This window comes from Homo sapiens, chromosome 5, assembly GCF_000001405.40.
Source record: "Homo sapiens chromosome 5, GRCh38.p14 Primary Assembly".
Lineage (NCBI taxonomy): Eukaryota > Metazoa > Chordata > Mammalia > Primates > Hominidae > Homo > Homo sapiens.
Window position 1 is genome coordinate 81,474,736 of NC_000005.10, and position 13,253 is coordinate 81,487,988.

The 13,253-nt window shown below is 35.6% G+C and overlaps 1 protein-coding gene across 91 annotated transcripts in view; it reads right to left on the reverse strand.

Annotated features, from left to right (window-relative positions):
• SSBP2 (single stranded DNA binding protein 2) overlaps positions 1 to 13,253 on the reverse strand; it is a 339,004-nt gene that overhangs the window by 61,932 nt on the left and 263,819 nt on the right. The gene's annotated exons all lie outside the window — the stretch shown is intronic.

Consider the following 13,253-nt stretch of genomic DNA (forward strand, 5'->3'; position numbering starts at 1 on the left):
AATAAGTTCTTAGTTCTAAAAAGATTCTACTTTGCCCAATTTTGTGACAAATAAAATAAGTATTTTCAGGGAGCAAAGATCTACGCAAAAACTGTCCTATTTCTTCCTGAGAAGTATTATGCCTTTTCCAAAAATTAATTTACTAAGAGTACTGAAATAACTAATTTTGCTTCTTACATGTAAATTCCCTATTTCTACAGAATATCTTACTCATTTGAGATTACATAGCAGCAGGATGAAAATGGAAAGGGACGAATGAAAATTGTTTTGTAGTCACAGTTTCCCTAAGAAATTATTTAGCGAAATAACACTTAAAATAAAAATAAATTAAGCAATTTGCGTGTACGGAAAAGGGAAAGTAGAACTGACAAAGGTAGATATGAACGTAACAGGGTTTGTTTCCTGGGATATATACTGAACCATAAGTTTCTAACAGTTGTCTCAGCAGTACTTAAAGCTGGATTAAGGTATAAATGATTTAAACCTACTGATCTTAAGTATATAAGCATACACATATACATAAAATCCTGACAACTGGTGAGAATTTCCAAAAAAATTCACTAATTTAACTTAAAGCATGAAAGTTATATCTAATTAGTTAACATATGCAACTATTTCAAAAGAAATTTAACATTAAATAATTTACATGGCCAGATCAGAACTGTTTCCTAAATTGTTATCACTTGGGATGAAGTAGGTAGCTTCCATTTCCCAAGTCATTTTTGTAGTTTTTCAAAATTTTTGCTTATAAGCACACCAAATACATATTTCTTGAGATCCTACTACATTATCTGTTCCCAGATTACCTCTCCAGCCTAATTTCTTGCCACTTTCATGCTCATGTTCTAACTTCCAGCCATATCAAACTTCTTTCAGTTTTTTTTCCTATTCATGCATTCAATCAACAATGTTTAAATGCCAACCACTAAAAACAAGACAAAATAAAAACTAAACTGAAAAAAAATCTCTCCTCTCACGAAGCTTACAGACCCTTAAGTAGTTATTGCTGACATCATTTAGATCTCAGTTTAGGGATCACTTCCTAACAAAATTATTCCCTGTAGCCTCAATCTGGGATAAGCCCTCCTTCCATTTGTGTGTGTGTATGTATACATATGCAAGTTATATTGAACAAATAAATATGCTGATTGAATAATTGTGTGTGTATACACATACACACAGAGGAATTATCCCAGATTGTGTGTGTGTGCATGCATGTATAATTTCACATGTATAATTTCAAACTTCCAGAAACTGCACAAAGAATTTCCAAATACCTTGACTCGGATTGCCAACTGTTAATATTTTTTACTGCATTTGCCTTATCAGCCTTTCTCCTTTTCTTTCTCTCTATAAATATATATCTATTATCATAAATCTTTTTCAGAACTACTTAATAGCAAGCTGAAGACATGATACCTCATTACCCCTAAATACTGCAAAGTATAATTCCCCCAATAAGAATATTTCCTACATAACCACCATACAGCCTTTCAAGTCAGGAAATCAACATTGACAGCAACACTACCATCCAAGTCCAAGATCTCAATTAATTTTGCCATTTGTCTCAATAATGTTTCTTTTTTCTTTCTGGTACCAGAACATCATGGAAGACATGTTACATTTAGTTGTCCTGTCTCTTCATGTTCTTCTAAGCAGGAATCATTTCCTATTGTTCCTATCTATGTCTATTCTATCCCTACCTATCATGTCCTCAACAATTTTAAAGAGAACAGGTCTTAAATTCTACAGCATGGTGTCTGATGTTTCTTTATGATCTAGTTATATTTTCTTAGCAGGAATACCAGAGAAATGATGCTATGCCTTTCTCAGTGTATCACATTAGAGGGCAAATTATGTTGATCTATCCCACTACTGGTGATGGTAACCTTTATCATCTGAATGTGCTGGTGTCTGCAGGTTTCTACACAGTAATTGATTACTTTTAGTATAAGAGCTATTCTGAGATTGTCAATATTCCATTCCTCAACAATCCTTTATCAACCCATCAGCTGTAGCCTCCACTAACAACTAACCACTATGATAACTGTCAAATAGAGACATTCCATGTCCATCATTCTTTTTATATTTATTAGTTGGTATTTCACTATAAGGAAAAGCTTTTCTTATTTATTCACCTATTTACTCAGTCATAGATTTCTATATTGTTCAATGGGTTGTAATCTATTACTATCATCATTTATTTCAATAGTCAAATTATCTCAGATTTGGCTAGTGAGAAGCCTTCAGGTGTGTGTGTGTATGTGTGTGTGTGTGTATGTGTGTTGTGTGTGTGTAACATACCCACATCCATTTTTGAGCATTTCCTTAATTTATGGCATAAGATGTTCCAGGCTCACCTCATACTTCTTCTGACCTAGGCTTGGAATCAGCTCTTTCCCCAAGGGGCCTTAATTCCTTTTAGTGGAGGACAGCATTTAGGCATAAAGATCTTGCTTCTCAGGATGTTCTTGTTACTTGGGTGCATCATTTTTAGGCTCTCTCAGTAAACACCAAGCTTGAAATCTATGCAGGTGTATATGTACATGCATATATGCACACGCATGGATCTGTGACTAATTCTATGTCTATTTGTGTGTGTATAGCATATACACCTACCATAAATGCATACTCTCCAACATCAATTCAACAACTCCAATTCCAATCTGATACTTCAGGATTATTTTTAGTGTTCTTCCTTTCTAGGTTTGTAAGTATTTTCCTCTTCAACAGTGGGAAACCCGGCCTATGTTAGTTACTTATTACTCCTCAATACAATTATGTATTTATTCAATCAGTGTATTTATTTGTTCAATATAACCAGTCTCCCAACCACACTGGCCACTTCATCTTGCCATCTCTGCATGGCTACCCCCCGCCCCACCCCCCACACCCGCCATGTCCTGGCAATGCAGAGAAGGTAAGGGCTTTTCATGTGTTTTTATAGGATCATATACCTCACTTTCAGAGAACTTAAATACTACCATGACTTGTTTTCTTCTCTGTATCTCCAGACTGTAAACTCCGCAAAAGTAGGGACCCTATCTGTGCCTACTGTCACAGAATAATAAATGTGTATTGAGGGAATAAAAGGAATAGGGTTTAGACTGACAATTTTAGGAATCATTAGTGATAAAGTCATAAGAATGAAACAGAGTTCAAAGAATGAGAAGTAAGAAGATAAAAGATTTAATTCTTTAAAAATACCAAGAAATAAAAAAAGAAACTGAAACTGAATAGGCATGAAATTAGGAAGGAGACTAAGACCAACATCTCAGAATGCCCGAGGAGAGTTTCAAGAAGGAAAAAGTAGCCAACACTGTCAAAAGTTATAAATAAATGATGTAGGAGGAGGACTAAAAATGTATGACTAATTGATATTATATTCAATTGTGAACTTAAAGTTCTTACTTTCTAAAAAAATTAACTTTTTTTTATTTTTTAGAGAAAAGGTCTCCCTCAGCTGCCCAGGCTGCAGTGCAGTGGTGTGATCATAGATCACTGCAGCCACAAATTCCTGGACTCAAGCTATCCTCTGCTGCAGCCTCCCGAGCAGCTGGGGCTACAGATGCATGCCCCCACACCTGCCTAATTTTTTATTTTTATTTATTTATTTTTTTTCTGATACAGAGTCTTACTCTATCACCCAGGCTGGAGTGCAGTGGTGCAATCTCACCTCACTGCAACTTCCACCTGCCAGATTCAAGAGATTCTCCTCCCTCAGCCTCCCAAGTAGCTGGGATTATGGGCACCCACCACCGTGCCCAGCTAATTTTTGTATTTTTAGTAGTCGGGGTTTCACCATGTTGGCCAGGCTGGTCTTGAACTCCTGACCTCATCATCGGCCCGTCTCAGCCTCCCAAAGTGTTGGGATTACAGGCGTGAGCCACCACACCCGGCCTATTTTTATTTTTTTATACAGATAGGGTATCACTATGTTGCTCAGGCAGGTCTTGAACTCCTAGCCTCAAGTGATCCTCCTGCCTTGGCTTCCCAAAGCGCTGGGATTATAGGTGTAAACCACCATGCCTGGCCAGATTCTTGCTTTTTTTAAGTCTCCAAATGGTTAGAGTTATACACTCTGAACTTTGACACTTAACTTCTGTCTCATTATAGACAATGATGTTTTATCACTGGTGGCAACCATTTTCTTCAAAACTTTACTGTTTCTAGTATATCTTTGAATATCAGAACAACTGACAAGCCTTTCTTGTTTCTGTTCATCACTTAAAAATATGGCATAATCTTACAGAAGTCTTAACCAACATCAAATTGGTTTTCAAAATGAGTGTTTTTATCTAAATTTAACTTTTTACTCATCACTGTTTGTCTTTTAGAATAAGTCAAGTCTCTAACTTTTAAAACATTTTTATCAGCCTTGGGATGACCAGATAGTAGCTTTGCGCATCAACAGTGATGTAATCACTGCATTCTTTAAACCTTTAATATCAGAAAAATGTATACATCTGTGACATATTATTTCTATATTTATAACATGTTAAAGGTATTCCACCCGGATTCATTTAACTAGTCACAAATTTTGGCATGCATTGTTCTTTTTTTTGTTTTTTTTGAGACGGTGTCTCGCTCTGTCACCCAGGCTGGAGTGCAGTGGTGTGATCTTCACTTACTGCAACCTACACCTTCCAGGTTCAAGTGATTCTCCTGCCTCAGCCTCCTTAGTAGCTGGGATCACAGGCGTCCACTACCTCGCCTGGCTAATTTGTGTATTTTTAGTAGAGATAGGGTTTCACCATTTTGGACCAGGCTGGTCTTGAACTCCTGACCTCAAGTGATCCACCCACCTCAGCTCCCCCAAACTGCTCGGATTATAGGTGTGAGCCACTGTGCCCGGCCGCTTTGTTTTACAAAAGATCTACACACTGGCAGAAAAAAATAACACTAATGAGGAGGGTACTTAATAAAAACAAACAAAATATCCATGGTAACACACACTTGTGAGCCAGTGCATTTGCGCCAGGAATTGTGCTAAGTCCTTAGTATTTCTTTCAATGTTTAAACAATCTTATAAAGTTATTATTATTCATCCTTTTTAATGATAAAAAACTGAGGTTTAATATGTAACTAATTTGTTAATTTGTCCATGGTTATGCTATTTTTAAAAAGGTTTTATTGATGCATGATTTAAGTACCACAAAATTTGCCCATTTTCTAATGTTAGAACATTGCCCACCTACAGTCATTTCCCATTCCCCATGACCAGCACCCTTCACCAGCCCCAGGTATTCACTAATTTTCACTAATTTCACCATTTTCTGTCTTCCATAGTTATACTATTCACAAGTAGCAGTGTCAGGGCTCAAGATTGGATTAACATATTCCAAAAGTTCTGAAAGATGTGCCTTAAATCCTAGGGATTTAAAATAAATGAAATAGTATAAAAATTTATTAAAACAAATAATTAAATGGGGGAACTGCCTGCTTCATAAAAGAATTATTTAGTTCACAAAGAATGCATCATAACTTCAATGGCAAGACTCGCTATGCACTTATGAACTGATGTACAGGCACACCTCAGAGATATTGCTGGTTTAGCTCAAGACCATGCAATAAAAGTGAATATCACATTAAGTGAGTCATATGAATTTTTTGGTTTCCCGTGAATATATGTTTTGTTTACACCATACCGTAGTCTATTAGGTGTGCAATAGCATTATGTCTAAAAACACAATGTATATACCTGAATTTAAAAATATTTTGTTGGTAAAAAATGCTAATAATCATCTGAGGCTTCAGTTAGCTGTAATCTTTTGGCTTGTAGAAGTCTTGATGGTTGCTGACTGATCAGGGTGGTGTTTGCTGAAGGCTGGGATGGCTATGGCAATTTCTTTTAAAGACAAGGTTTTATCATATTGCCCAGGCTGGTCTCAAACTCCTGGGCTCAAGAAATCCACCCGCCTTGGCCTCCCAAAGTGTTGGGATTACAGGTGTGAGCCACTGTGCCCAGCCAGCTGTGGCAATTTCTTAAAATAGATAACAATGTTTATTGCATCGATGGACTCTTCCTTTCACAAATGATTTCTCTGTAGCATGTGATGCTGTTTGATACCACAGTAGAACTTCTTTCAAAATTGGAGGCAATGCTCTCAAACCTTGAAGCTGTTTTATAAACTAAGTTTGTGTAAAATTCTAAATCCTTTGTTGTCATTTCAGCAGTGTTCATAGCATCCTTACCAGGAAAGAGTAGATTTCATATCAAGAAACCATTTTTGTTGCTCATCCATGAGAAGTAACTCCTTATCTGTCAAAGTTTTATTATGAGAGTGTGGCAATTCAGTCACATCTTCAGGCTTCACTTCTAATTCTAGTTCTCCCTCTATTTTCACGACATCTGTAGTGACTTCCTTCACTCAGGTCTTGAACCTCTCAGAGTCATCCACAAGGGTCTGAATCAGCTTCTTCCAAACTCCCATTAATGTTGATATTTTGACCTCTTTCCATGAATCACAAATGGACTTAATGGCATTTAGAATGGTGAATTATTTCCAGAAGGTTTTCAATGTACTTCCCCAGATTCATCAGAGAAATCACTACAGATGGCAGCTACAGCTTTATGGAATATATTTCTTAAATAGTAAGAACTGGACGGGTGCAGTGGCTCACGCCTGTAATCTCAACACTTTGGGAGGCCGAGGGGGGTGGATCACCTGAGGTCAGGAGTTCGAGACCAGCCTGGCCAACATGGTGAAACCCCATCTCTACTAAAAATAAAAAATTAGCTGGGTGTGATGGTGGGCACTTGTAATCCCAGCTACTCAGGAGGCTGAGCAGGAGAATCGCTTGAACCTGGGAGGTGGAGGTTGCAGTGAGCCGAGATTGCGCCACTGCTCTCCAGCCTGGGTGACAAGAGTGAAACTACATCTAAAAAAAAAAAAAAACAAACTGAAAGTAAAATTACTCCTTGATTCATGGGATACAGAATGGATGTTGTGTTACCTTATACCCAAGAACTCTGATGCAGTTGTCCAAGACTAATGAAAACAACATTAATCTTGGACAACTGCATCAGAGCTCTTGGGTATAAGATGTGTTACCAAGGAGTAGTAAAAAATAAAGGAATCTTTTTCTCTGAGTAGTAGGTCTCCACACTGGGCTTAAAATAGTCAGTAAATCATGCTGTAAAAAAGATGCACTGTCATCCAGGCTTTGTTGTTCCATTTATAAAAGACAGGCAGAGTAGATTTAGTATAAAATTTTTTTTTTGAGACAGGGTCTCCCTCTGTTGCCCAGGCTGGGGTGCAGTGGTGCAATCTTGGCTGACTGCAACCTCTGCCTCCTGAGTTCAAGCAATTCTCTCACCTCAGCCTCCTGAGTAGCTGGGACTACAGATGTGTGCCACCAAGCCCAGCTAATTTTCTGTATCTTTTGGTAGAGATGGGGTTTCACCATGTTGGCCAGGCTGGTCTTGAACTCTTGATCTCAAGTTATCCATGTGCCTCAGCCTCCCAGAGTGCTGGGATTACAGATGTGAGCCACGTACCTGGCCAGATTTAATAAGTTTTAAGGGACCAAGGATTTTTCAGAATGGTACATGAGCACTGGCTTCAACTTAAGGTCACCAGTTGTATTACCCCCTAATAAGAGAATCAGCCTGCCCTTTAAAGCTCTAAAGGAAGGCATTGACTGACTATGGCTATGAAAGTTCTAGGTGGCATCTTCTTCCAACAGTTTAGTGTAGTCATCTTCATCAATTATCTTAGCTAGATTTTCTGGGTTACTTTCTGCAGTAGAATCATCAGGACTTGCGGCTTCACCTTGAGTGTATGTGTTCTGGAGACAGCTTCTTTCCTAAACTTCATGAACAAATCTCTGCCCGCCGCCCTCAGGCTTTTCTTCTGCAACTTCCTCAGCTCTCTCAGTCTTCACAGAACTGAAGAGACTAAAGGCCTCACTCTGGATTAGGCTTTGGCTTAAGGGAATATTGTGGCTGGTCTGATCTTCTGTCCAGACCATAAAAACTTCCTTCTATCAGCAATAAGGCTGTTTTGCTTTCTTATCATTTCTGTGTTCACTGGAGTAGCACTTTTAATTCTTTCAAGAACTTTTCCTTTGCATTCCTAACATTGCTGTTTGGCACAAGAGGCCTAGCTTTTGGCTTATCTTGGCTTTTGACATGCCTTCCTCACTAAATGTAATCATTTTTAGCTTCTGATTTAAAGTGAGCGATGTGCGACTCTTCTTTTCACTTGAACACTTAGAGGCCATTTTAGGGTTATCAGTTGGCCCAATTTCAATACTGTTGTGTCTCAGGGAATAGGGAAGTCAAGGAGAGGAATAGTGATCAGGGAGTGGCTGGTCGGTGGAGCAGTCAGAACATACAGAATTATGAATTAAGTTCACTGTCTTGTATGGGCACGGTTTGTGGCAACCCAAAACAATTACAATAGTCACATCAAAATCAGTGATCACTGTAAGAGATATAATGAAAAAATTTTAATATGAGAGTTACCAAAACGTGACACAGAGACACAAAGTGAGCACATGCTGTTGGCTAAATGGCACTTACTGACTTGCTCAATGCAGGGTTGCCATAAAACTTTAATTTGTAAAAAACATATCTGTGAAGCATAGTAAAATGAGGTATGCCTGTGTATTTCCTTGACTACCATTATATAGTTCACTCATGGAGACTAAATGCTCATTGATGCTGAAAAAATGGTGAATTTCTCAAAGCTTTAAGATTTAATTCAGTAACAATTTTGATGAACCAAATTTTTTATGGGCCCATAATGATATAATTAAATATCAGAACTAGAAGAGCCTTTAGAAATACCCACATCCACTCCTATTTTACAGGTAAGAAAACCAAAACCCAGAAAGTCTAAGCGACTTGCTCAAAGTTATACATTGCTGGCTTTTGGACCTAAGATGCCAGACGCATTTAGGTGCTTTCAACACCACTGTCATTTTATTCCTCTAAAACGACAATATCAACACAGAAGATATTAAATTAAGTGTAGGAAGATGTTTGTCCCTATAGCACAACTCACCATTTGACATATATATATACACACACACACACACACACATTTATACTTTTCTTTTTTCTATATTTCAACAACTGCAACTGTGCTGTTCAAATTAAAAGCTCTTTACCACATGCAGCAATTTAAATTTAATTAAAATTAATTTAATTAAAAATTTAGTTCTTCACTCACACTAGTCCTATCTCAAGTGCTCAAGTACTAAAACTACTGCATATGATAAATGCAGGTATAAAATATTTCCATCATCCCAGAAAGTTCTATTGGGCAGTGCTGCATTAGAATGTCAGCTCCACAAGAGAGATTTTCATTAGTTTGTCCACCAATGTATCCCCCACATCTAGGATGGTACCTGGGACACAGTAAACCTCAACAAGTATCTCTTGAATGATTCAATATTTCTGAGAGTGATTTTGGATAGCCCTGTGAAGTTTCTATCCAAATATATGGCAACGTATTCTATGTATTGACTTATCCAAAAATGGTATATCTATGACAAAATGACTATAAGATAATGAGGTATGTTTTGGCAAAAGAAGTGAACATTGTATCATAAAACCTCCATAAAACTATAACTTAATTGTATCAAAAACCTTCATAAAACTATAACTTAAATTAGGTAAGACTGAATAGAATTCACTATGCAAAATTTTCTTGGTTTGAGAAGGATAAAAATAAATTTGTTTGTTAATTTTCCCTATAAAGGTAGAACAAAATTAGAAAAAGATATATATCTCAGGATAAACTCAAAATTCAAAGTCATAAGAAAATACTATATTTTAATCTTGCCATGTTGGATTTGAAATAATAATTTAAATCTTAGTGTAATTATCATAAAAATAAAAAATAATGAGCTCCCAATAATAGAAAGGGGTATTCTAAACCAGCCAAAGAGGCTACTTTATGCTTTTAATCATTAATCACTAACATATTAAACAGATACATTTTATCATCTCAATAAATTTAATTCTATAACATGATTTTTAATATGTACATACTATTTCATCATTTCAATATACCATAATTTACTTAACCACTCATCTATTATTGCACAAATATCTGAAGATTTCAGTAGAATGGTCAGATGTAGTGTGTTTGTAGAATACCAAATTCAACTTTAGAGTACAAAATGGGCAACAGAATTAACAATGTTTTTCATTCCATATATCTGTTGACAGTGTTTCAGGAATCTGAAGAAACAGAGGATAAAGTTTCTGAATTCTATAGGATCAACAGATCTATAGTTAAATTATTTTTGGTGTCACTCATATCATTAACATTATCTGTATTTCGGGCTGTCTTGATTTCCTCAAGATAGTGTTGAATGAATACTGTGAATTTTTCTGATTGCATATTTTATCCATGGGAAGGATAAAGACTTGCTCGGTTCCAGGTTACAGATGCTTCAATACCAAAGATCCCTTCTGAGAGTTGAACCAATTCCAGTGTAAAATTGTATAGTCAAATATATTTTGTAGATTTAACTTCTATGTTTCATGTTTCGTCATATATATTTATCCTCTGCTATATTGCACAGTTTTGTAATTTTATTTTCCTTTCATCATTTTAGACATTATTACCCCTTCCTATATTTTTACAACATAGTGACATTATATCATATTCCAATACCCAGTGCTATACATATACAAAGAATATACACCCTTATGGATTTAATCCAGAACCATAAAAATGGTTTCAGGGGAACTCAAATTTAAATCTGTAGTCTAATCATTAGTAATTACAAATTGAGTAAAATCTGTTTATTAAAGAGATGTCTTTTACATATTCAAAATGATTAGTCAACACTACTGAAGAGGTTACTATTTCTATTTCCTTAGATACAAACTCTTAATAAAACATAACGTCATTAGTTTATGACCAATTAATATGAAAACTAAATTTAAAAATAAACACATTAGTGGATTTTAAAATTTTATTATTTGTTTATTTTTTAGAGACCAGGTCTTCCTATGTTGCCCAGGCTGATCTCAAACTCCTGGGCTCAGGCGATTCTCCTGCTTCAGCCTCCTGAAGTGCTGGGATTACAGATGTGAGCTACCATGCCTGGACACATTTGTGTTTTTATCTACATAATTCCAATTAATCACCAAAAATAGTTTTGCCCATTCTACTTTAATGACTACATAACAAAATTGAGAAACCGTGTTTATGCTTGAAAAGTTCATGCTCCTAACTAGGTTAAACATTTCCTAAAACAATATTATTTATATTATTAACACAACTCTTTTTTAAAAAATAGTAGAAATGTAAATTATTATAAGTTTGGATGATAGCTGTTTGAATTAATGAAGCTTAACTAAATGTGTATGTATGTGTGTGCACTGGAGTGGTGGTGGGAATGGACAAAAAGAATCCCTGAGAGAAGAGTACAATTGTTTTAAAATACATTTAGGTAAAGACTATTTATGATTCTTGAGGAAAGAGAGCCTATATAAAAACTTTTTATTATCTTTAACTTTTTAATTGTCTCTTTTGAAAATTCAAAGACATTAAATACCTGTTCGTAAAATTTGTCAACAAACTAGGTTTACAATTTTACATTCCCACCACCAACCTTGTCTTCAAAGTGTTCATTTTGTTAGTCTCTACGGAACCTAGGATATGGAACCTAGGATAGTATCTTATACATGGCAGGCATTCAATAATGTCACTTGAATACAATTCCAATAATTTTATCACATTTTCAACATTGATACACAATATATGAGGTCAAAAATTCTAATAACACACTTATACTAGAATTTCACATTTCCCTAATTCAGATATTTAGGCGCTTCCTAGACTTATATAATATACAAAGCTATGGACGGAATGTCTAAAAAACCATGAAGCCTGCCTCCAATAAGAGATGCACATTTCTTTAAAAAGAAATTTAAAAGACTCAGGCACCTATATAAGTAGATCTGACTGTCAATATATACAGGTTTACCCACAGAGAAAATAAAATTCCCGTATGTTGTAACCCTTGGCATCTGTGCACTTCTCTTTCCTATTTTATGCCATCTTCCCCTGCCCCGATGTACTGAATTCAGATTTGGTCTATAGGAGAAAAATGCTCCAGCTGCTAATGTGAGAAAGACTGCCAAGCACTGTTATCATGAGATGACCCAGCACTGCTTCCTACTCAAAGTTCTCCCCTGGGGGTGAATCTGAGTGCTGGCACTTTCTGCTGTGCACTAGAAGCAGAGAGCACCAGCAGATTGAGACACCTCAAAGATAGCATAATTTCAGTAAGAGTTAGGAGAGGAGAAGCAGAATTCTGCTGCCGTCAAGTAAATTAGTAATTTTAACTTTCTTGTTCCATTTCTGGTAAGGAAGAAAGTGGAAATGAAAAGACAGTATGAATGAAAAAGAGAACTTATTGTAATAACATGGTTTACCTTAAATATGGGATAAAGCTAGGTATACAAACAACAGAATTAGAGAAAGTGACAAGACAATTATCTTGACACAAGTATTCCATAGTGTTAAGCATTTAATTTCTTCTCGGGTTATATACATACAGTGCCTGTATCCTAAAACTAAACTACAAACTCTTTGTGAGTAAAAATTGTATTTTATTCTCTTCAGCAAATAAATACTTATGATATTAATAAAAAGCTATTTGAGAACAAAACATGAAATTTTAGAGCTCTTGTAGATTAAAATGTTGGAAGATTTTATTGGTAAATATTTATTAACAGATCTATCTCTTCTAGAAGCAGCTAATTATTTGCCTAACCTGCCATTATAATTGGATAAAATTTGTATGAATGCTAGAGCCATGATATTGAAACCATATAATATGAAAGTAAACAAAAGTATGTTCATGGAAAATTTTATTGCTATTCTTTTTTTAATATTATTAAACTTTATTTTTTAAAAAATATTTCATTAACAAAGATTCTATATATTTAAGTTGTATAATGTGATGATTTGACATACCTATACATTATGTAATGATTATCACAATCAAATTATAACACATCCATTACCACTCATGCTTTATTCTAGATTCCCAGAACTTGTTCATCTTAAAACCAAAAATTTATGCCCTTTGATCAACACCTTCCTATTTCCCTGACTTTCTAGCCTCTGGCAACCACTGCTCTATTCAGCTTCTATGAGTTTGACCTTTTAAGAGTTTACATATAAGTGAGATCATGCAATATTTTTCTTTCTGTGTCTGACTTATTTCACTGCTAATGTCTTCTAGGTTCATCCATGTTGTTGCAAATGGCAGTATTT